Source organism: Homo sapiens, chromosome 9, assembly GCF_000001405.40.
Source record: "Homo sapiens chromosome 9, GRCh38.p14 Primary Assembly".
Classification (NCBI taxonomy): domain Eukaryota; kingdom Metazoa; phylum Chordata; class Mammalia; order Primates; family Hominidae; genus Homo; species Homo sapiens.
Window position 1 is genome coordinate 41,952,808 of NC_000009.12, and position 26,064 is coordinate 41,978,871.

Sequence of the window (26,064 nt, forward strand, 5' to 3'; positions counted from 1 at the left end):
AGAAGAGTAAGGAGGTTACCGGTTCCCACTGGTCTTCATGAAGAACTGTTAGACCCAGCCTGCCCTACAGCCATTATCTCCTCAGTGTGAACGGAAAGCTAAGGCATAAGTTATTAGCAAAATTTCCCTTGATTAAGAAAGGACAAGTCACTAGTCCTGCATATGAACGCGCTGAACGTCTCTCAACGGTCAGGAAGGCGCTCTTGAATGCTCTTTGGTCCAACCAAGAGCGGGAAGAGAAGGAGAGAGCGGTCAGGGCTTTGAACTAAGAGCCACGGGAGGGACCCTGGCCTTTTCTCCCTCAAAGGCATCTCGCAGCCCGAGGGCCGCGCCCCGGCCTCGTGAGCCCCTGTAGCCTCCAGCAGTGGCGCTTACCTCGTGAGTCCGGGCGCCGCGCTGTCCCGCAGCGCAGAGCCAGCCGCTGCTCGCAGCGCTCCGCCAGGTTCACCGCGGCCCGCAGCTGCCCCGCGCCCGCTGCGTACGCGAAGGACACAGCCGAGAGCGGGTGCCCGCTGGGGGCACCTCGGAGGGTCACCGCGTCGGGGCCACCGTGCCGCACCACCGTCCACGCGGAGTCTGCTGAGCAGAAACGGGCAAAGGAGAGGCATCACTGGGCGGCAGACGCCAGCAGCAAGAGGCAAAGCAGACCTTTTATGTGAATTAACGTTTAATTGAAATTTACATTACTGCATGTTTGCCGCGATTTGAGGAGTTGGACCTGTGTAACAATGTACTGAGCCAGAACTCAGCCTCTAAGAGAAAGCATATTGGAAGAACTGATGACCAAACTTTTGCGACGTCACGCCTAAAAATGTATCATGTAAGCAATGACTTTTTAGTTGTTAAAACCATTTTTTTATATCAACACAAGCATGGGGCCAAACTGTTACTACCTGGACCTTTATCTTTTTAAACTCATCTGCATTTTCCTCATCTGTATGTGCCTCTATTTCTTTCATTATCGAATAAATTTATAAAAGATACATATTGGGACGATGTGACGCACATACTCACAGGTATGATAGGAAGCAGCTCTATTAAAATAAAGTGGTTTAATTATGTCAGCTTCTCCATCAGTGACCAAGCCCAGAGGAATCAGAGGCCTTGAGCTTCTAACAGCACTTTCCAGGCGGTGACCCTGAGCATCTGACTGCCTGCTGACATCATTTCTGATGTATCTCTGTCACTTGATTACTTATATTGTTTTGATGAAATAAAAACAAAATGACTCCACAATCTCAAAAGGGAAGAAGTGCATCTTGAGTTCTTTAGTGTTCCCAACAATGGACCTCCCACCAGACTTGAAGTCACTTTAATTCTACTATGCTGGTGCTGTCTGGTCCTTTAACCTCTAATAAGATGTATTTAGAATAATGGACATTTTACATAAAAATTTTCCGAACTGGAGAAACGAAGAAACATTTGTATGGGGATTTTTTAAGAACTACGAAACAAAACAATGTGATACATTTTACCTTGAGAAATCACCCTCCCAGCCCTTCACATCTCAGGATTTTTAATGGCTTGGCTGCTAAATGGCTAAATGGCTTGTGCGTAAGACAAATTTCACAGCCTTACTGTTACTTACACACGCCTAACAACAGAGATCAGAGGAAAGAAGGAAAAGAAAACCAGCCATGCTACTGAAATATCTCTTTAGTCACAGAACCCATGGAGAGCAAAGGTGTGATACCCACAAATGAGCCACAAGTACAGAAAAAAATCTGCAAATTTAAATAACGAATGCAATTTTAAATTAAATTATCACTCCACTCACTGTACTCACCAAAGGAGGCTCTAAGTGTGCCTATGGTAATTTCAATTCCATGGGTTCTTCCTTTAATATTGCTCTATTTTTTTATTTTAGATTTTTTATTTAACTTATTTATTTTTGAGATAAGAGTCTCGCTCTGTTGCCCAGGCTGGAGTGCAGTGGCGCTATCTCAGCTCACTGCAGCCTCTGCCTCCTGGGTTCAAGCAGTTCTCCTGTCTCAGCCTCACAAGTAGCTGGGACTACAGGCACACACCACCACACCTGGCTAATTTTTGTATTTTTTGGTAGAGACGGGGGTTTCACCATGTTGGCCAGGCTGGTCTTGAACTCCCAACCTCAGGTGATCCACCCGCCTTGGCCTCCCAAAGTGCTGGGATTACAGGTGTGAGCCACCACGCCTGGCCTCATTTTAGAATTTTTACAACCTGGTGTTACTCTGTGCACATCACCTACTCTCACCTTCAGAGTTTTCCTATCAACTGAATCAAATATAGAAAAACCTATGGAACACTAAGTTGGGCATTGAAGATGCTCAACCACATGCCATTTTTGGCCATGTGTTCATGATTTCTTGTACAATGGGAGAGAAATGATGGTCCGGAGTAGTTCACATAGGCTGGTGGGCAGTATGATAGATTTGCAGTCACCCATGGTTAAGATGTAATCACAGAAATGCCCTCAGTACTGAGAAGGGAACTGTTGAGAATACATCTGTAAAACTTGTTTTTCTGAAGAGTAGAATAGTAACCAGGGACATTATAGGATATGCATTTGTGTTTATAAAATTCCACTTGACTCACTTCTCCTTATAATATCAGTAGTAAAAGACCCAAAGAAGGACACAGACCATTGTGGTTTCCCTAATTGCTCATAATTTATTTCAATTGATTATAAGCATATTGGAACTGGAAAGGATCTTAAAGAGCATCTAATATAACCCTTATATTTTTCTTTTTCTTTTTTATTAGAGATAGGGTCTCCCTCTGTTGCCCAGCTTGGAGTGCAGTGGCACCTTCATAGTTTACTGCAGCCTCGACCTCCTGGGCTCAAGTGAATTGGACCTGAGTAGATTAATTATAACAGTGGCTAAATGTGGAAAGGGGTTCAGAGGTGTGGCTGAGTCAGAACACACTGGAGGCTGTCTCACTAGCCCAGAAGGAGGGTAACTGTAACACGTTGATCCCTGTTCCACTCCTGTTGCTCAAATAAATATCCAACTTTGAAAATTAAGCTAATTTAACTCATGATTTTGATTGGAATTAACAGTACAGATGTTCCTCAATTTATGATGAAGTTGCATCTGGATGAACTTATTATAAATTAAAAATGCATTTTAATACATGTGACCTACTGAACCTAGCTCAAACCAGCCTAACTTAAATGTGCTCAGAACACTTAAATCAGCCCACAGTTGGGCAAAATCATCTAACACAATGCCTATTTTATAATAAAGTGTTGAATATCTCATGTCATTTATTAACTACTGTACTGAGAGTAAAAAAAAAAATAATAATATTGGTTGTGGCCAGGCGTGGTGGCTCACGCCTGTAATCCCAGCACTTTGGGAGGCCGAGGCAGGCGGATTACGAGGTCAGGAGATCGAGACCATCCTGGCTAACATAGTAAAACCCTATCTCTACTAAAAATACAAAAAATTAGCCGGGCGTGGTGGCACATGCCTGTAGTCCCAGCTACCGGGGAGGCCGAGGCAGAAGAATCATTTGAACCCGGGAGGTGGAGGTTGCAGTGAGCCGAGATCGTGCCACTGTACTCCAGCCTGGGTGACAGAGCAAGCCTCTGTCTCAAAATAATAATAATAATAAAATAATAGTTGTATGGGTACTTGAAATAGGGATGCATATGGTTTCACATAGGGAAGTCGCAATATTGTAAGTAGAACTACTGTAAACGGGGATTGTCTGCACTTAAAATTTACTCAGTATATCATATGAAATCCCCAGCATCTGGTATACCCATTCCTATATGTCCCAGAAGAAAAAAGAAAATAAGATCCACTGTGTTCTGTTGTCAGGAGCATACATATTAAGGTTATCTCTTTTAGAGAACTGACCCTTTCATTTGTCTGAGAAAATCTTTATTTCTTCACTTTTCAAGGAGAAGGTTTTGTTTTGTTTTGTTTTCTCTCTTTCACACTTTAAGTATCTCACTGCATTCTTGCTGGCATGATTTCTGAAGAGAAGATGCTGTAATACTTATCTCCTATGTAGGTAAGGTGCTTTCTTCCTCTGATTATTTTTAAGAATTTACTTTTACCTGGCCTGGGCATGGTGGCTTATGCCTGTAATCCCAGCACTTTGGGAGGCTGAGGTGGGTGGATCACCTGAGTTCGGGAGTTGAAGACCAGCCTGACCAACATGGAGAAACCCTGTCTGTACTAAAAATACAAAAATTAGCCAGGCATGGTGTCACATGCCCATAATCCCAGCTACTCAGGAGGCTGAGGCAGGAGAATCACCTGAACCCAGTAGGCGGAGTTGTGGTGAGCCAAGATCGTACCATTGCACTCCAGCCTGGGCAACGAGAGTAAAACTCCATCTCAAAAAAAGGAGTTTACTTTTATCTTTGAATTCTATAGTTTGAAAATATATGCCTGGTAGAGTTTTGGGGGCATTTCTCCTTCTTTGGTGTTCTCTAAACTTCCTGGATTTGTGGTTTGGTGTCTGATACTAATTTGTGGGAATTCTCAGTCATTATTTCTTCAAATATGCTTCTGTTCCTTTCTTTCTTTCTTCTCCTAGAATTCTCTTTACACGTATGTTACACCTTTTGTAGTTGTGCCACTGTACTCAGATATTATGTTCTGGGTTTTCTTTTTGCAGGGGGTGGGGTTCAGTCTTTTTTTCTCTTTGCTTTTCAGTTTTGCAAGTTTCTATTGAGGTATCTCTAAGCTTAGGGATTCTTTCCAAAGCTGTGCCTGGTCTACTAATAAGCCCATCAAAGGCATTCTTCATTTCTGTTATGCTGTTTTTGATCTCTAGCACTCCTTTTTGCTTCTTAGAATTTCCATCTTGCTGCTTACATTGTTCATCTGGTCTTGCATGCTATCTACTTTACCCATTACAGCTTTTTCCATATTAATTATAGTTGTTTAAAGTCCTGGTCTGATAATTCCAATGTCCCTGCCATATCTGACTCTGGTTTTTGTTTGTTTGTTTTGTTTGTTTTTTGGTTTTTTTGAGACAAAATCTCGCTCTGTCACCCAGGCTGGAGTTCAGTGGCATGATCTCAGCTCACTGCAAGCTCCGCCTCCTGGATTCATGCCATTCTTCCTTCTCAGCCTCCCGAGTAGCTGGGACTACAGGCACCCGCCACTACGCCCGGCTAATTTTGTTTGTATTTTTAGTAGAGACAGGGTTTCACAGTGTTAGCCAGGATGGTCTCGATCTCCTGACCTCGTGATCCGCCTGCCTCAGCCTCCCACAGTGCTGGGATTACAGGCGTGAGCCACCGTCTGTTTTTAATGCTTGCTCTGTCTCTTCAAAGTGTGTTTTTTGCCTTGAACTTTTTTCTTTTTCTTTTTTTGGAGACAAGGTCTTTCTCTGTTGCCCAGGCTAGAGTGCAGTGGTGTGACCATGGCTCACTGCAGTCTCCAACTCCCAGGCTCAAGCGATCCTCCCACCTCAGCCTCCCAAGTAGCTGGGACTACAGATACATGTCACCATGCTGTTTTGTTGTTGTTGTTGTTGTCACAATGCTGTTTTGTTGTTGTTTTTGTTGTTGTTGTTGCAGAGGTGGGGGTCTCACTGTGTTGCCCAGACTGGTCTCAAAACTGGTCTAAGGCTATCTTCCCTCCTCAGCTTCTCAAAGTAATAGGATTATAGGTCCAGCTGAAATTTTTTCTTGATAACCAGATGTGATGTACCAGGTAAAAGTAACTGTAACTGCTGTAAAGAGGCCTGCAGTACTATAAGTAACATGTGTGGGAAGGGGAAAGGTTCTGTAGTCCTGTGATTAGGTCTGAGTCCTTTAGGGAGCCTGTGCCTCTGGGCTGTGACCTTCACAAGAGCTTCTCAGCCCTCCCTCCCATCACCACCCTTACATGGGACAGGATGGCCAGAGGTGGGTAATTTCCTTCCTCCAGGCAGGTTAGGCTCTGAAAACAAAAAACAAAACAAAACAAAACAAAAGAAAACAAAACACCAGTAGCTTAGGTGAAATATTTGCCCTTGAGGAAAGACCTTGTTAAGAAGAACAGAAAGCTCTGGTGTACTTCAAGACGGTTCCTTTTCACCTTCCCTTTCTGGAAGCATGAGGAGATTTTTCTCCAACATTCACTGTGAGAACCCAGTCAAGCTAGGTGTCAAACTCACAGAAGTGTGGGGATCCTTCTCTGTCTGGGTCTTCCTGGAGTTTTTAATTCTCAGATGTGTCCACATCAAACATCCAACAATTCGTCAATTAAGTTTAGGTTTTCCTACCTTGACAACGGTTTCCCCAAAGGTTAGTGCTTGTGGAAGAAAACTGTCATTCTGTATATAAGCCTGCCTGTCTCTCCAATTTTGAGGGGCAGTGGTTTGTTCTGTGACCTCACTTCTCTGCTGGATCTAAAAAAATTGGTTAATTTTTCAGTTTGCCTGGCTTTTTACTTGTTCTTAAGATAGAGTGCTGACTTCCAAGCTCTGAAGCAACTGCTTTTTGAAGGTTATTACGATATATACATTTCAAGCTATTAGAGTAGTTTGAAATTGCACATTTTATAATCATTATTGCTTGATTTGTACAACTAGAGAATTTATTACTGGCTATAGAGCAATGCGGCATCTAAAGAGAAGGTGACATTTTCTAGGGCAGAAAAGAGACCAGAGTTTAGTGATTCCCCTACCATTAGCTAGATTTTGTCAGTAGATACTTCCCTAACCAACTTTTCTGAGCCTTGATTTCCTCATCTTAAAATGATGACAACCAAGGTCCTTCCTGGTTGTGACTTTGGTTGAGTCTTTTGATATCCACCAAGACCATTTTTATGGGATTTCTCACTTTGCTTTCATTGTTTGAGTCGGGATTTTGGAGGTAATTGGTATCTTATGGCAGAACGCCTGTGTTTCTTTATCTTCAGCACATTGCTGTGCAGGTGGCTCTGAATCTTCTGAACATCCCCTGTAAAGTTTTACTATTTTTTGACAATCTTTGCTAAGGCACTTTAAATGCCCATGTAATTTCAGTTATTTGTTTCTTTATCCTTGATGCTTGCTGACCCATTTGGTTATTGTCCAAATTTATGAAACTTTTGAAACCTTTTGTCAGCACAATAAATGAGAACAGTTTATTCCAGATTTCCACTTTGCAGAGAGTTGGAAGAGCTAGGTGACAACAAATTTCTGTAAAAATGTAACTATTTAAAAGGCGTTCTAGTGCAATCTTCTATAATCAAGCTGTGTTCATTTCTTTTTTTCCTTTTTTTTTTTTTTTTTTTTGAGATGCAGTCTTGCTCTGTCGCCAGGCTGGAGTGCAATGGTGCAATCTTGGCTCACTGCAACCTCTGCCTCCCTGGTTCAAGGGATTCTCCTGCCTCAGCCTCCCAAGTAGCTGGGACTACAGGTGTGGGCGCCACCATGCCCAGCTAATTTTTGTATTTTTAGTAGAGATGGGGTTTCACCACGTTGGCCAGGATGGTCTCGATCTCTCGATCTCGTGATCTGCCCGCCTTGGCCTCCCAAAGTGCTGAGATTACAGGCGTGAGCCACCATGCGCAGCCCAAGCAGTGTTCATTTCTAATATCTAAAGCATGAGAAATAATCAAGTTTCTTTGGTTATGAAAAAATTATATGACATAAAAATCACTAAATTATTTAAGATGCACATAGAACATTAACATATCTATGTTATTTCTTAGCATTTTTAAACACCTCTGTTTTTTCTAAATACAGAAAGCATGTAAATCACCGAATCAGAGGTTTGTATTTTATCATGATGCACATGAACAGATGTATTATGAGGAGTGTAGGAGCTAGAGAGATGCCTTGGCAGAGCATTGAATCTTGCCTATAATCCAACCCAGGCAAAGAAGAAATACAAGAAAATTTTGTTGACAACAAAATTAATAAATACATATTTAATGCTTCTACTTAGCAAGTACACACTATCAAACTGCATGTTTTAATAATGCTGCCAACTAGGTAAATTTCTCCTTGGTCTATTCTGATCTATGCATCTAACGATTATCAACATACCTGTCATATTGCAGTACACAAGAAATGGTCCCAGGGGGCCACTTCCATCTGCATCAATATAGTAAAGCCCGGATGGGTTCCCTCGGTGCTTGTGGGCTTCACAAGACTGCTCGTAGAGAGCTGTAGGAGAACACCAGCCATAAGAACCAGAAAAAATATCTCCAGATGTTGAGTCAGTGTCCAAAGGTTTGCATTTCTGAATTACAGACATGTGATACATATGACCCAACATCATTTTTATAGTGTATGAAAGTATATTTGATGAGATGCAAGAAAAATGACATTTAAAAAATTAAATCTATTTTTATTAACAAAGGAGAAAAAAATTACCTAGTCAAAATACATTCAAATGTTGGATGTTGTTAGATGCTGAATAAATATTCGGTCACAGTGTATTTCTATTTTGAGGAAGAAGGAAAGATTGTGTTGGTGTTCAAACATGAAGATGTGCTTACAGTGGGAATGCGATACTATCTTCAATAGACAATCTTTTGGCAATGTCTAGAGACTGTACTTTCTCTACATAAATGTTTTCTTTTGCTTTTAGGCAAGAAAGCATGCAAACTCTGAAGCACAGTGTAAAACACTTGAAGAGATACGAGAGGAAAACTTTGTGAATCTGAATTCTGCGTGCTATTGAAGCATGGTTCTTTTCAAACTCATGGCAAATATACCTCAGAATTAAACTCTATAATTAAGGAAGAAACCCTCATTCTCCCTGTAATAACTGAATACCTAAGCACATTAAAAGGCCTAAATAATCTGGTATTTTCCCATAAGCATTCTGTAAAGTTTTTCTTAAGCTATGCGGCAGTTATACCCTTTGCTTCCTTTAAAACAATATGAATGAGCATTTTAAAGAGATAAATGGAATTTATAAGCTATCAACTTCTCGTCATTAAAAAATAATTAAAGCTGATTTAAAAAAGAAACGTCCCTAAGTATTTTGCAAGTGACAATTCAAGACAGCTGAAATTCAAAACAGGAGAGAAACTTTTTTGAAAGATATCCCTATATAATGTAAATTTACTCTAGCATAATTGAATATTTTCATTTGTGCAAGTAAATGTTTTACCAAGTACAAGGTATGGAATTAATATCTGCAGGAGATGGACATTGCTAATCTTTATTTTTGTGCCACTTATGGCATATTGATTTAAATAGATACATATATTTGTATATGTCTGGTAGGATTCACTCAAATTAATAACAATACTTAAATATAGGGCACAGACTAGGTTTGGAATGGAGACAAATATTGAGGAAAGTGACTAGAACTTGTGCTTTATGTGAACTGTTTGGCTTTTTAAATGATAATGTATACATGTATTAATGTATAGTATATATTAATTGAATACAATTGATTTTAATTGTATAATTAATTATATACAATGAGTTATATACAATTAATAATTATATACAATTAATTAGTTGCACATAATTGATACATGTTATACAATTAGAAATACAAAATAACCTATTCAACTAGGTGTGGCAGTCTAGTCTCACAGTGAATGACTGTGGGCTTGGCAAATTTCTACCTATAGCCGTCAATTATTAGATGAGACTGACACTTGAAATACTTTTTCAATCTCCTGATATTTTCCCTCAGAAGTTTTTGGAGTTATATTTTGATTGCAGTGAATAACCATGGACTAATATAACTCATTGATTAATTGCAACATTAAATGCAATCAGACAATGCTGAGTGTGGTGGCAGATATAAATTTTCCAGGTAACACACAAGAATAGGCTTCTGCTTTTAGGTAAGATACTATGCCTGGAGGATGAAAGATACACAGAAGTAAAAGATGTGGTCCCTGCACCAACTCTATGACCTTATCAAGACATTCAGCCTCTGGTGTGAGAGGCCACTCAACTCCTAGAAAATGTGTCACAGCGGCTGGGCATGGTGGCTCATGCCTGTAATCCCAGCGCTTCGGGAGTCCAAGGCAGGTGGATCACAAGGTCAGGAGATCGAGACCATCCCGGCTAACATGGCAAAACCCCGTCTCTACTAAAAATACAAAAAATTAGCCAGGCGTGGTGGCGGGCGCCTGTAGTCCCAGGTACTCGGGAGGCTGAGGCAGGAGAATGGCGTGAACCCAGGAGGCGGAACTTGCAGTGAGCTGAGATCATGACACTGGGCTCCAGCCTGGGCGACAGAGCAAGACTCCGTCTCAAAAAACAAAAAACAAACAAACAAAAAAAAGAAAATGTGTCACAGCTTTATAAACAGGGACCCTTCTAGTACAAAAATCATACTTCATGCTTCAATCTGTGAGAGTCACTCCTGGACTGTCTCCTCTTTTGCCCAGATCCTTTACAGAACCTCAGGACTGGGAGCGCAGAATTCTCATTGCATGTATGAAGTGTGGTTTTAACACTCCACAGCCTGCCTTTCTCCTGTGGCTTTTGTGAAAATCAAATGTCTCATGGAAGAGTTCTTAAAAGTTTCAATTAGGAACTCAGGATGAGCAAGTGGAACTGAGGACTTTGCATCTCTGTTTCCTTGAAGACCCAGGGATGGGCGAAATATTCCTGAGGAGAAGTTGCTCAGAAACGTCAGTAGAGATATACAGAAAGAAAACTCTAAAAGTTAAAAACAAATAGGAAAAAAAAGGCTTTTCAGATTCTGTGATGTTCTAATTATAACAGGTTAGAGTTCAATAAAACGGCATGGCCTTTGAAATTCACAGAGGGTGATTCTTCAGTAAAGACAGATGATTTTTAATATGGCAGAGGCAGTTGAGAAGTGTTAGAATATGCCATCCCTTAGACATTGTTCTTACACTTAAATGTCTACCAGAAGCATGAGGAAGGTTGGTTACAAGAGACTCGGGGCCCCATCTCCAGCGATTCTGATTTAGTAGGTTTGGGTAAGGCCTGAGAGTCTTTACTTGCAACAGGTTCCCAGGGGCTGTGGGTGCTGCTGGTGCATGGACCACCAATCAGGCATCCTGGAGCCAAGGCTGTGGAGCCAACCTCCTTAGCTCAACTCCTCATCTTCCCACAAACTAGCTGGGGGCCAAGTTACTTAACCTCTTTCTGTCCTCAACTCTGCAATGAAGATAATAAGAGTACTTTCTTCCAGCTGCTTTAGGGTTAAATGAGTTAATATATGCAAAGCAATAGCAGAGGGCTGACATAAGTACTCAATACATTAATACTTTTACAATTATTCACTTTACAATCATCATCACCACCACCAAAGAAAATCACAGTCATTGTAAGAGATCTTAAAGGTCCTCTAGTTTCTAGCTGATATCCCATTACCTCTTCAAAAATCTTGCCATGTACAATCCCATGATTGCATCATCCCAGTGATTGTTAAAAAATCTTTAAATACCTTAAATGTAACATTGACAGCCTGGCAAGGGGTTGTTTTTCCACCTTTCTTTGACTGAGAAGATTCTCAGAATTAAAATTATGGTCCAACTCAAGTAATGGAACAAGCTGTTAACATCATGCATTTTTAATTTAATTTAGTTTCTACCTTTTACTATATCTGATTCTCCTAGACTTATTTCCCCATTGCTTGCCAGTTTCTTTTTTTCAATCCTATGCGTACCACGTATTTCTGTGCACTGTCTCAACACCCTTGTATTAAATAAGGTGGATTAAAAGTAAACTAGAAATTGAGTGCTGAAATATCTCTTCTGATGTGTTTGCATGATTGCAAATATGCAGATACATATAAACAACTAATCAAAATGAAATGACAAAGAGATGCTGACAGAAACGAGAGGGAGGTGTGAGGCTTACAGGAATGGCAGGTCTCGCCCGTATAGCCTGTGCCTAGACAGTCACAGGAGAAGGTGTCCCACGACTGGGAACACTCGCCCCCATGCTCACAGTAGCTGGGCAAGCACCTAAAAGAAAACAGATACAACTGCTGTTTCCCTTTTTCAATCATCAAAAAATAAGTGTCTTACCAAAAACAGGTTAATGTGAAAGGCCAGCATACGCAAGATAACCCCACATGACGTGATTACTGGGTCTGCCATCAAGGTTCTCTAATTATATTGACAAACTTTAGATAAATATATCCATTAGCATGCAGCTGATTATTAGGTTTCTGTGACAGCTGAATTTTCAACACATTTCTTTTTTTCTTTGTCCCAAGTGACACAATAACTTGACATGTGGCTAGCAAAACCAATTACACACATAAAACTATGAAATATGGCATGCTCAGTTACTATATTGTGGTCATTTTTAAAAGAAAGAAGGGGAAACAGGGAGGAAGATACAGAGGGGAGAAGAAAGAAACAGGAACAGCTTCAGTCACATAGTGACAGAGGTTCAGAAATTTTGAAGAACATTTAATTTAGGTCATCTTGTCGCCTTTTAGATTTGCAATAAGCAGTCGGTTATTGCTTTTTAAGCAATCTTAACACTGGTAATATGTCAATATGACCCAAAGCAATCCACAAATTCAATACAATTCTTATTAAAATCTCAATGCCTTTTTTTGCAGAAAACAATAATCCATCCTAAAATTCACAGGGAACCTCAAGGGACCCTGAACCAGCCAATGTTGAAAAAGAACAGTTGGAGGTCTCACACTTTCAGAATTCTTGGAATCTGCTGCCGCCCACTATAATATTGGGGGCCTAGCATGCCTGCCTCTCAGGATTGTTAGGGGAACAGGGAGCAGGGTACACTATGGAAACTGACCAGCACCTGACACAGAGTGTCACCAAGAGGTAGTGTGACCTTCTGGAGGCCTGGCCTGAATACCATGACCCACCTCTGCCTTGAGCAGGGTTGGATCTCAGCCTCTGGCCGCTGTCTCCCACTGCTGAGTACACAGCTAAGGACCTGGTAAAGAGTGAAGATTCTAAAGGACACTGACCTTCCAGGCCGTGAGGGACATCATAGTCCATGCTGGAGCGGCAGAGGCGGGGAGCACCCAAGTGCCCCTCACCATGGGACCCAGAGAAGTAACAGAAGAGGGGCTGGGAGGTTGTGACAGGCCTCCTGGCTGTGGTGGAAGGACGACCAGCAGAGAACTGGGGTATGAAGTTGACAGAAAGCCCCAGGGGCCTGTATTTGGCCTCGGGAGAGATCCTTTGAGGGGAACCTGAGGGGCTGGGAAGAATCCGCAGCATTCCCTACCCTCCCCATGCCCCCAGCCCCCTATCCTGGCTCTCCAGCACTGCACCACCAGCTCAGGGCCAAGACTTCCATAATTACATGGTGTTAATGAGCATTTAGTCTGCATTCAGAGAAGAGTTAGGGGCCATGAGAATCACAACTTTTCAAGTATTTCAAAGGCCAAGGCATGGAAAAGCCTGTGTGAACTGATCAGAAGAGGGGGAGCTGGAGCGACAGGCAAGGTTGGCTGGGGTGGGGGCCCACCCTCATACCATTTTTAAAAGAGCAGCTGTTCCTCTTCCCCCACATCCTTCTCCCCCTCCTCCCCTTCCTTCTTAATATAATGGAGCATCTTAAGATCATACCTGACTTGAAGATTCCACAAATTTTAAAAAACATTAAAAACCACTGCTGTTTGATATCAACAGGGAGAGAATAATTTTAGTTCAAAATATTTGGAAATAAGAACTATTTAAGTGATCTAGAGACTATCAACATGTATACACTATTTTTCTTCAACTAAACACAACATCAATTGTGAAAAATTTACATGTAGTACAAATAATAGAGGAAGTAGCTAGCATGCAGAAGACCAACAGAGGGGAAGATGGCAGAGGGAGGGCAGGAGTGGGGTCAGCAGCCTGGTCAGCACAGCCAGGTGAGGAGGTGACAGAGGCCTCCCTGCTCAGGGAGCCCCAGTTGGAACGCAGCACAGGACTCCACTGGAAGCTCTGCCATGTGGTATACAGGGCAAACCTTAAAACAGTATAGGAGTCTGATGTAAGAGGTGATTAAGAAGTTAAAACCTATCCTGGCTGGGTGTGGTGGCTCACGCCTGTAATCCCAGAACTTTGGGAGGCTGACGCGGGTGGATCACGAGGTCAGGAGATCGAGACCATCCTGGCTAACACGGTGAAACCCCGTCTTTACTAAAAATACAAAAAATTAGCCAGGTGTGGTGGCGGGCGCCTGTAGTTCCAGCTACTCGGGAGGCCGAGGCATGAGAATGGCATGAACCCAGGAGGCGGAGCTTGCAGTGAGCCGAGATCGTGCCACTGCACTCCAGCCTGGGCGATAGAGCGAGACTCTGTCTCAAAAAAACAAACAAACAAACACCTATCCAAACATAAACATCCATTATTTGTGACTCTGTCATCCAAAGTGCCCATTGCTATTTTTTGCGTAGCTTAAAATTTTGACTAAAAAAGATAACTTCATACCCCTTATCTGTCCCTAAGTAGGATTTTTAGGTGTGGTATTTGAGTAACATATGTTTCTACTTTGTGAGTTAGTGATATGGTTTGGCTGTGTCCCCACCCAAATCTCATCTTGAATTGTAGTTCTCATAATTCCCACTGTGTCATGGGAGGGAACCTGTGGGAGGTAACTGAATCATGCAGGCAGATCTTTCTCATGCTGTTCTCATGATAGTGAATAAGTCTCACGAGATCTGATGGTTTTATAAAGGGGAGTTTCCCTGCACAGGTTCTCTTGCGTGCTGCCATATAAGACGTGTCTTGTTTCTCCTTCACCTTCTGCTATCATTGTGAGGTCTCCCCAGCCATGTGGAACTGTGAATCCATTAAGCCTTTTTTCTTTATAATTACCCAGTCTTGGGTATATCTTTATTAGCAGCATGAGAACAGACTAATACAATTAGATTTTTGTTTGTTTGTTTGTTAACAACAACAAAGAAAGGCTGATAGATGCTTACAGGCCTGTTTTCAGGATACTTAAAAGTGAATTTTCAGTATTTTCAGGTTTTCAAAACTTTATGTAAAGGGAACAGCAAAGGTCTTTAATTTTAACTCTGTAGGATGTCATTTTGTGTCCCCAAAGTTTTCTAATTTTATTGCTTTATAAAATTCAGGTTTTCAAAATAATCTCAGAGGAGCTAGTCTTCTACGTTACTGACTTTGGGAATGAAATAGTAAATAGCCTTTATTTGTAGCCCTATTTGAAAATAATTTAAAAGTGCTTTCTTAAAATCCTTATCTGCAATGATTATTGTACACATCATGGCTGAAGTTTAAGTGTGGCTCACACATTCATGCTTAGTTGAGCATGTTTACAAGTAACTTTGGGGTACAATTTGGAGGCCTTTTTAAAATGTGGGATCTTAGAGACCAAGTTAGGCACCAATGTAACTCTTGGGACTTTAAGGTTAAAACAAAACAGCCTATAACAGTAAAAACAATAGTTTTGTACTTTGGGAGCTACATGCACAAAGCAGGCAAAATGGATCATCTCTGAAAAGAGGCAGCCTCACAATATATATCTCATAACAGAAACACTGCAAATGGATCATATTTTGTGAGTAATTAACAAGGTATCAAAATAATGTCATACAAGTGAAGAAAATCACACTTGCATCACAGTTGAGCTGACAGCTGTTGTCACTCACAGTGTGGGCCCATGGGACATTACCCCTTAACTCAGAGAGAGATGAGCTCCCTGGCTAGTTAGCTGAGCAACTTGGGATTATATTAAGTGAGCAAATGGCCAGAAACCTTCCCAACTACCCTTCCCACGACTACAGAGTGTGGTTCTGGAGCTGGTGTTGAGATGTAAATGCAGTCCCAGCTGTGTGCCAAGAATTCAAATCTCAAGGTCAAGAATGAGAGGTACTTGACAAATTCTTACACTTCATATACTCCTCATCTTTGAATTAATTCATTTTTCCTACAAATCAACAGAATGTTCACAGGGGGAAATTATTCCATGCTGAATAAATAAAGTCCATATGAATGAACTTTTCATTTAGTAGTAATTGCGTTTTTTTAGTATGTCACTAACTGTGAGTTATAAATTAAAACCTGTTTAGCCAGAGAAGATAATTTTACAGTTAATGTTTAAAACAGAATTGACTAACTGAATTTACTCCATGAAGAAGGCAGGTTTTGAAAGTTCTACCAGATGCAGATATAACTTTTTTTTTTTTTTTGAGAAGAGTCTGGCTCTGTTGCCCAGTCTGGAGTGCAGTGGCACTATCTCATTCACTGCAAGCTCCGCCTCCCGGGTTCACGCCATTCTCCTGCCTCAGCCTGCCGAGTAGCTGGAACTACAGGCGCCCGCCACCATGCCTGGCTAATTTTTTGCATTTTTAGTAGAGACGGGGTTTCACCATGTTAGCCAGGATGGTCTCGATCTCCTGACCTCGTGATCCGCCCGCCTTGGCCTCCCAAAGTGCTGGGATTACAGGCGTGAGCCACCACGCTGGGCCAGATTATCACTTTTCAATTTTTAAATCTGTAGCATTTATTTATTCACTGAAAGTAAATACCAAATGTACTGGGGCAAATTGTATGTAGAAATATTATTTTTCCAGGTGTGACCCTATGATTCTTCTCAGCCAAAATCTTTGTAAAATTATGGCACAACTAGCATAACTGTGGTTGTAATACTTATTTGAATTAAATGTTTTTCTTGTCTAACCTCCATATTTCATTGAGTATGTCCTTCTGCACACATCTTCATCCGTCTTTATGATTCAAACTTTTCTAGCAGAAATTACTTTTTATTTTCTCTGCAGAACATGTGGGGTTGGGTGGCTGATGAATAGTAACCTGGCAAATTCCTCTGCCTGGAAAAATATCATCCAACTGATGGGTGTGTGGTTGCAAAAGCGAGCTTTATAACTATTAGCTGAGCAACTCGGGATCATATTAAGGTAAAATTCATAAGGTGTATATCTTCTAATAAAATACTATCATTTAAAAAATGCTATTTATTCCATTAGAGATGCAGTTTTTGTTTTTGTTTTGAGACCGAGTCTCGCTCTGTCGCCCAGGCTGGAGTGCAGTGGCGCGATCTCTGCTCACTGCAAGCTCCACCTCCCGGGTTCATGCCATTCTCCTGCCTCAGCCTCCCCAGTAGCTGGGACTACAGGCGCCTGCCACCACGCCTGGCTAATTTTTTTTTTTCTGTATTTTTAGTAGAGACGGGGTTTCACCATGTTAGCCAGGATGAAGTTGATCTCCTGATCTCGTGATCCGCCAGCCTCAGCCGCATTACAGGTGTGAGCCACCACGCCCGGCCAAGATGAAGTTTTCTAATCCTCATAGTAATTATGACTATTTCATTCCCTCTCGAAAGATAACAACAACGAAAAAGAGAACGGAATGCCTTTTTCCAGCTCTCTACATTTGCTTTCTTCAACTTTGAAAACAGGCAAGCTAAAGTGACCTAGGATGGCCCTTACCTGTCTGTGATGCCGCAGGAGTCTATCTGGAGGTCCCTGAAACTCCCCAGCGCCCCCTGCTGTACTAAGATGGGATCCACCGCTTTGTCACCAATGGTGATGAGCCTTAGGCAGCCCTGAAACCCTCCCAGGGGGCTTTTACATCCAGAGCCAGAGCTGTTGCCCAGGCAGCCTGAATATGAAGACAAAAATAGGACAAAAGCAACAACTATGACAAAACTATTCCACAGTATTTACTATATGAAGACTGCTGCTCCCGCTTGTTTATGGACATCGGTATGATGCGATGAGCTTCACCATTCATTAGAGAGGTGAGAAGGGGCAAGGTTAGAACTGATCAAATTTAAGATAATACCTGGAATTCAGAATAAGAAATTGCGGGGGAAAATTCAGATCTAAAATTCCTATAACAGGAATTATTTCCCAACCAAGTGAAAAGAGGTTTGGCTTCTTTTGTGAAATCTCATCTAAGAAATAAGCATGCATTTTAGCATTATGTAGTATAAGTGAAAAAAATTAAAGTGGAGGTTAAATTAAAATAAATGAAATCATAGCCCAAATTTTATTTAGGATATGCTGTGAAGTGTGAAAAATGCTACCTGAAAATATAATTGTATACTACCATTTATCTAAAATATGTTAAATATCTACCCTATAGCTGTTTTTGTGCGTTGCGATGTATGTATATTTGGGAGTATTTAAAAACGTATTTTTTTATACTGACTGGGTGGAAATACCTAGATTTGCTTTTCTAGTAACACTTTCTTTGGTATTAGGTACTTTAGTCAAATATATAACTAAAGATTAAATTCTAATGTTAACAACAACACAAAAAGTAACAGGACATAACACACTGTTAGGGTACATAAGGATAAAAATTTGCAGTCCAGAATGTTCTATGAATAGAAAGAGATAAAATAGACATTTGATTATTTCCAATATTAGAAGTTAAATATTAAAAATTTCACTACAATCGTCAGCTAATTTCACCTAAATTACAAATGGCAATGCTTATGACATCACTTCCCTTTACTATGTGGGCTTGTTTTGTGAAACAAGAAGAGTACTTATAAGAAGCAGTGGTGAGTGCCTGACTTTGACGTAAGCAGTATTACTCCACACCAGTCCAAGCATATAGGAAAGTAGTGTCTTGAACTTACTCCCACCCTCTTGAGTTACAATATATAACCTAATAATGGAACTCTAAGTTTGAAAAGTAAGGAAAAGGATGAAAGTACACACTCTAGTTAAAGAAAACACAATAATTGTAAAATCTTATTATTTAAAGACAACTGTTTGTAGAAAGAGTCATATTAATTCAGAATAAAATCATAAGGCATTTGTCTACGTCAGGAGTCTGCAAAGGTTTTCTGTAAAACGCAGATAGTAAACACTTTTGGTTTTGTGGGTCACACCTGGTCTCTGTTGCATGTCCTTCTTGTTATAACCCTTTAAAAATACAAAGCAGGGCTGGGCGCGGTGGCTCACGCCTGTAAACCCAGCACTTTGGGAGGCCAAGGCGGGCGGATCATGAGGTCAGGAGATCGAGACCATCCTGGCTAATTCGGTGAAACCCCGTCTCTACTAAAAATACAAAAAAAAATTAGCTGGGCGTGGTGGCGGGTGCCTGTAGTCCCAGTTACTCGGGAAGCTGAGGCAGGAGAATGGCGTGAACCCAGCAGGCGGAGCTTGCAGTGAGCCGAGATGGTGCCACTGCACTCCAGCCTGGGCAACAGAGCGAGACTTCATCTCAAATAAAATAAAAATAAAAATAAAAATACAAAGCAATTATTCATTTGGGCTTATATAATATGCCATGGACCGTGATTTGCCTACCTCTGATCTAAATGAATACTTAATTTTAACATACAAATATGAAAGAGGAACCTCATTTCATAATGGTGTAATGCCAATGACAAGAGAAATTGAATTAGTAATTAATTTAATTGTATATTATGAAATTATATAGCTTTTAAAAATTTTATCCTTTGCCTTATTTTAAAAAAGAAGCCTGCTTATATTGATTCTGTAAGTATTGTCTCTTTCAAACTTGTGAGATATAATTTCTTATTTTCTTTTCCCAATCATTCAAATATTAGGTATTAAACCTAATATTTGGCATGACACTTTCAGTCCATGCAAATACCCTTTTCTCCAAAGATTATAGTAAATATACATCAATATTTATCACTAGAGGATTGAGTTTTCTTTACAGTGTTCATTAAAATGAAAAAAATGAAGTATAGAATTTGTACTTATGTGTTTTTCATTGACCTCTCTTTGACCTTATATTGTTAATCACTAGCACAATTTCAAAAAATAGTCAATGAAGATTCCTCTTACTGGAATAAATGAAGCACCTCTCAATGCCTGTACTCTTATTTCCTCCCTAAAAGTTCCATAAAAATTAAATGTTGTGTTTAGATTTCCATTTTAATAACTGAAGCTTTATCTCTTTAACTTTAATACTTTCTGCTTTAGATCCCTAAAGTAAAAGCCTCCCTCATATTAAGGCTTCTTTTTAGCTTATCGAAACTATACATAACCTCACAGACACTTGGAAGTTTAACATTTAACACCATATTTGTTTAAAAGTTTGAAGACTAAAATCTTTTATATTTTTATATTTACAAAAGAAATAAAAGTTTAAATGGTACAGCAGAACCTTCTGAAGAATGGGATAGAGAGTGAACTTTGTATAATTCTACTGCATCTCACTAATCATTAAGAAATAAACACATTAAGAATTAAGAGGATTATTAATTCAATAAATATTTTCCAGTAATGAATTATAGGAATATCAACAGTTCTGCTAATCTTTCTTTCACCATGTGGTGTTTCCTGACACATAACTTAGGTTATCTTTTTTTTTTTTTTTTTTGAGACCTGAGTCTCATGCTGTCACCCAGGCTGCAGTGCAGTGGTGTGATCTCTGCTCACTGCAAGCTCCACCACCCAGGTTCACAGCATTCTCCTGCCTCAGCCTCCCGAGTGGCTGGGACTACAGACACGCACCACCATGCCCTGCTAATTTTTTTTTTTTGTATTTTTTTTCAGTAGAGACGGGGTTTCACCATATTAGCCAGGATGGTTTTGATCTCCTGACCTCGTGATCCACCTGCCTCAGCCTCCCAAAATGCTGGGATTACAGGCATAAGCCACAGCGCCCAGCCAGGTTATTCTTAAAAGAAAATGAATTCGATAACTCTGTTAGAAAAAAAAAAACTAAAATAAATCCAGGTGTCCCGCAAAAAGTTATGAAACTTTCAGGACAAATTCTAATCATAAAGTACTGCATGGATATGAAATCAAACAAATAAAGATATTAAGACCCATGAAAATTTTAGCCCGGTTATTTTCACTTGTGTAAGCATATGAGGTTGGCAAGAAAATTGTCACTGTGTGTTATTGCAGTGACAGACTTCAATGCAGTGTTGCCACAAGTTCTTGGTCTAGCAGATTCCTACAAGAAGGATGTGAGGACTGGCGACACAACAGTCAATTTTGTATTCTCAATATCATGGAAGGAGGCATGGCATTGAATAGCAGAAAGATTCCATAAAGGTAAGTTTAAAAGAATTTGACCTTCAGTCAATCTCTATTTCAGGCATGAATGCAAAAAACTGCAGGCTATATGCACAACCTGCAACCGTACAGAGTGCTGCTTGAAAAACACTTCAAAAAGATGAAATCACAGACCAGAAAAAAAAGAATGGACAAATGACAGTATAGAAGATAGGTCTGCATCTGCAAATTAGACTTTCTCTTTCTTTCTCTCTCTCTCTCTTTCTTGACAGAGTCTCGCTCTGTTGCCAGGCTGGAGTGCAGTGGCACCATCTCGGTTCACTGCAACCTTTGCCTTCCAGGTTCAAGGAATTCTCCTGCCTCAGCCTACCCAGTAGCTGGGACTACAGGCTCCCGCCACCATGCCCAGCTAATCTTTGTATTTTTAGTAGAGACAAGGTTGCACCATGTTGGCCAGGCTGGTCTTGAATTACTAACCTCAGATGATCCACCCACCTCAGCCTCTCAAAGTGCTGGGATTACAGGTGAGAGCCACCGCGTCTGGCCTAAACTTTCTATTAAAATAAATCTAGTGAGATCCAGAAACCCACATCCACCAGTGATTTGTTCCAAGTCTCTCAAGGTTTCTTTGGTGCAAATAACATTTTCCATTTATCTGGCATCAGGAAATTGGTGGGTTTTTCTTCTTCTTCATTTTTTCATATTAACCTGGCTACCCATGGGTAGAGTCAGCAGGGCAACATTAAATTGAAAAAAAAAAAAAGATGCCCCCATACGATGGCCTGAGAGTGGAGACCAGTGACTCAAAAGCAGAAGGCTGGTTCCAAAACGTCAAACTTCTGCAGTCTCAGCTTCAGGTGAGGAAGGCAGCTCTCACTCAGGGAAAGAGCCAAAGTTAGAAACAGTGCAGCTCTTGCCAGTCATTGACCTAAGGCCAGGCGGCTCCTCAGATGACCTGCAAATTGGGGACACACCACGGCATGCAGCAGGTGGGCTGAAGGATCCTGCTCCCAGTGGGTTTTTGCAGGGGACGTTCTGATTCCCTTAGCTGACGAATATGATCCTATGTTCCCTTATGATTATGAGAAAGTAGTGAAGTGCCAAAGAGAGGAACGACAGACACAGCAGGAGCTAGAAATATGAAAGGAAATAGAAGAAAGGGAAAAGAGGCCTGAAGACAGGCAAGAAATTAGGGGAGTTCTGATCAAGGCGACCAAATCCAGATTCTGATGAAGGGGAAGATTAGGAGGGAGAGAGGAGGAAAAGTAGTAGGGTGGAGCTGCCATTGCCCCTCCCACTTCTCTGGTAGAGAAAGACCAAGAGTCACCCCGAGATTTTCCTTATGAAGAGGATTCAAGACCTCAGTCACGGTCTTCCAAAGCAGCCATTCCTCCCCCAGTGAAGGAGGAACAGGACAGACTGAGATCTCCAAACCGTCCTAGCAGCTCCTTCCTCACTAACGTGGTGGGAACGGTGGTGCACAACATCATGCAGAAGCGCGGCTTCCGGGAAGGCTGGGGCCTCGGGGAGCACCTGCAGGGGCTTCGAGACGCCTTTCCGGTGGGGAAGACTAGCAAATCAGGCGGCAAGATCATCGTGGGCGACGCCGCAGAGAAAGATGCATTGAAAGGTCAGGTACAAATCCACTGACTGAAATACTTGAGTCCTACTAAGGTGGTCCTACTAAGGAACATGGTTGGTGAAGGGGAGGTGGAAGAAGACTTGGAAGTTGAAACCAGAGAAGAATGTGTGATGACATATTTTTCAGTTGATATGGTTTCCTATGAGACATAGCATCATTAAGGATAAAATAAGTGAAACTGAAAAGAGTATAGTTAATCTAGTTTTCATAATGAGTTCATTCTGTTATGTTTCTTTTTCTTTTCCATTGTCAATTTATATTGGCTCAGAGAAAACAGGCTTGATGGATAAAGTCCATGGTATTTCCCAATTTTGCCATGAAAAATATGGCAAAGTTAGAAAATGTGTGATATGTGAAATTCTTGGTGTCCCTGATGATGAAGCACAGACCTTTTTAGAATTTGAGAGTTGAGTCAGCAATTAAAGCTGTTGTTCACTTGAATAGAAGGTATTTTGGTGGACAGGTGGCAAGAGGATGTTTTTACATTTGTACAAATTCAGCATCTTGGATTTGGTGGAACAAGTTTGATTTTAAGAACTAGAGCATGAGTCATCTCTGGTGACCCTTAAATGACAAGCAGGCTGAGAAAAGAAGGAAAAAGGTCACAGCCTCCATGGCTGTTAGATACTGAGACTCTTGGAAGGACCTCCAAGATATACGTTGATTGATCCCTTTTCATTTTGTGGTTTTTAAATATTGTATAAAAATCCAAATCCTTTTTAATAAATAAATAAAACGTGCAGCTGACTAGTTTCAATCATTGGTAGATATTATACTGTAGGAATGAAGTTAGTGTCTGCAGCTGTACATATTCAGGCCATTCTAAATATATAAGCTAGTTAGGAAGAAAATACTGTGGATTTTATCCATCAAGCCTGTTTTCTCCAGGCCAGTATAAAACAAATGGAAAGGAAAAAGAAACATAATGAAATGAACTCATTATTAAAACTGGATTACAGGATTAATTTTAATGTTTTCAGTTTCACTTATTTGACTCTTAGTGATGCTATGTGTCATAGGAAACCGTATGAACAGAAATATCCCAAGAAGTAAATTTGCTTAGAAAACAGAAAAGGGCTTATTAGTCTCTTTCAGTGCACTGCACAGCATTCAAGAAGAATTTGGGTCATGTGGTCTTTAAATTACTAAAATGAGTAATGAATACTAGCGGAACCAAAGGCTGTTTCTATGTGAAGAAATGATCTATTTTGGGTTTATATACATCAGTAAAATTTAACAACCAGCTTATGCTGTTAAACATGGTGGTTAGAGCTGGTGTTTCCCGAAGTTTACTATACAGATGGGTAAATAAAGTTACAAAAGCACACACAAGGAATGCAAAATTCACTGGAAAAACTAGGTATGTTAAGAATATTTTAAAAACTAAATTTTAGGCTGGGCATGGTGGCTCATGCCTGTAATCCTGGCACTTTGGGAGGCTGAGGTGGATGGATCACCGCAGACCAACCTGAACAACGTGGCAAAACTCTGTCTCTACAAAATACGAAGAAAAACAACAACAACAAAAATTAGCTGGGTGTGGTGGTGCAGGCCTGCAGTCCCAGCTACTCCAGAGGCTGAGGTGGAAGAAGTGCTTGAGCTTGGAGAGGCAGAGGCTGCAGTGAGCTGTGATTGCTCCATTGCACTCCAGCCTGGGCAACAGAGTGACTCCCTGTCTAAAAAAAAGGCAAAACAACGAAACACCACCCCCCTAAATTTTATAAAGCAAATCTAAAAGCAAAAATGAAAATTGCCTAACAATAGCAAAATGGGACAGTAGAACTGATAAAATGTGGTATATTCATGTAACAATATATACATTCTTTTGAAAAATTAGCAATATTTTTAACTGTACATATATGATCTATTTCACAGTAAAAATGAATAAAATTATGATATGCATAAAAATAACTCAAAAGCATTTCTCACATTAGCATGTATATATTTATGGAAATGGGCTCTTGAATAATCTCACCTGTAGAATTTAAACCCTAAAGGTGATACTATATTTATACTTTGACAAATCATTTTCTGTAATCAACTTTATTTAGTATCACTTAAAAAAATGAATAGTACTTTCATTCTTATCCCTTTTAGTGCTTCCTAAATATTTTACCTTTGAAATGATAGGTCTTGGATATATTGGCTTATTTGTTTTTTGTTATAAAATGTGTCATCTATAGCAAATGTTTTAATACAATTTGAGGCACATATGCACACCTCGGAATATGAGGAAAGAAAACAATCAGAAACTTTGCAGATTGACATTGTCTGTTTTCACAGTTGCTCTTGGAAAGTTTGCTCTGAAGGACTGTTAGAGTTTAGAAAATGAGTTTTATAATTTCCATGCTGACAGCCAATTTTAGGGATGAATTTTACCTTTTTTTTTTTTTTTGAGACGGCGTCTCACTCTGTCACCCAGGCTGGAGTGCAGTGGCGCAGTCTCAGCTCACTGTATAAGCTCTGCCTCCCAGGTTCATGCCATTCTCCTGCCTCAGCCTCCTGGGAAGCTGGGACTACAGGCGCCCACCACCATGCCCAGCTAATTTTTTTTTTTTTTTTTTGTATTTTTAGTAGAGACGGGGTTTCACCGTGTTAGCCAGGATGGTCTCGATCTCCTGACCTTGTGATCCACCTGCCTAGGCCTCCCAAAGTGCTGGGATTACAGGCGTGAGCCACTGTGCCTGGCCGAATTTTACTTTCATATTGTGCTGTCTCCAACATAATTTTAAAAGGATTCTGGAAAAAAAAAACAGTAAAATGCAAAACTATACTAATACTCTCAAGAAGCACCTCAAGCATTGATTAGCAAATGTATCTTATTATTTACAGAGTTAAATGACATTTCTAATGACCAAGGACTTTCTGAGTAAACATCCCTGGGCAGAAGATTTATTGCACCCTTCTGTGACCTCCCCACTCTGACTGCCCTCTCTTAGGCTGCAGTGTCTCTTGGCTGTACTCAATCATTGACTGAGCTGGCAAATATTCTGTTTATTATTGTCTAGGAAAGGCTGATGTGCTCCCTGACTTGGTAAAATGTTTCACTGCATCATTACTGGGCAATAAAAATAAGTTGAAATAACCGACTGAGTAAAACTATTAGTCACTTTGGGCAAAGCATGGCCTTTCTTCATGCGGCAGTGGGAAATCAATAAGATGCTCCAGAGGAGCCGAGGCTCTAGGGATACCTGTATGGTGCAATAAAACCAGCACATAAAGCAGTGGAAAAGGTAGTGGCACTCATTTCACACTGTTACAATTCCGTTGGGCACAATGATGAAGGGAAGCTTCATAAAGGGTGGTCTATTTAAAATCGGTTCCTGAGTGTGATCTTTTATTTAGGCCTATCTGGAAGACATGCATTTCAGTCCTTAATTTGTAGTCTTTTTTCAACAACCCCATGAAACAAAAGGGATCCAGCATGGTGATACTGTTTCATGGTGATACAACCCCATGAAACAAAAGGGATCCAGCATGATGATCCAGCATGGTGATACATAATGATACTGTGTTATTTACCTGGAATTTGGTAAGAGAGCAGATTTTCAATGACTTCACTCCCCTCTGCCATCAACATGGTAACTATGTGTGATGTGATGGATGTGTTAATCAACTTGACTGTGGTAAT

General features: G+C 40.6%; 1 protein-coding gene and 1 pseudogene across 1 annotated transcript in view; one reads left to right on the forward strand and one right to left on the reverse strand.

Annotated features, from left to right (window-relative positions):
* CNTNAP3B (contactin associated protein family member 3B) overlaps positions 1-26,064 on the reverse strand; it is a 238,891-nt gene that overhangs the window by 62,272 nt on the left and 150,555 nt on the right. Inside the window, exons 10-13 of the mRNA NM_001201380.3 lie at positions 17,267-17,438; positions 11,731-11,837; positions 7,966-8,085; positions 376-579 (exon numbers count right to left, since the gene is read on the reverse strand). Of these exons, the coding sequence (NP_001188309.2) occupies positions 376-579; positions 7,966-8,085; positions 11,731-11,837; positions 17,267-17,438 (603 nt within the window). The remainder of the gene's footprint in view (positions 1-375; positions 580-7,965; positions 8,086-11,730; positions 11,838-17,266; positions 17,439-26,064) is intronic.
* On the forward strand, positions 21,502-23,186 carry RBM17P3 (RNA binding motif protein 17 pseudogene 3; annotated as a pseudogene).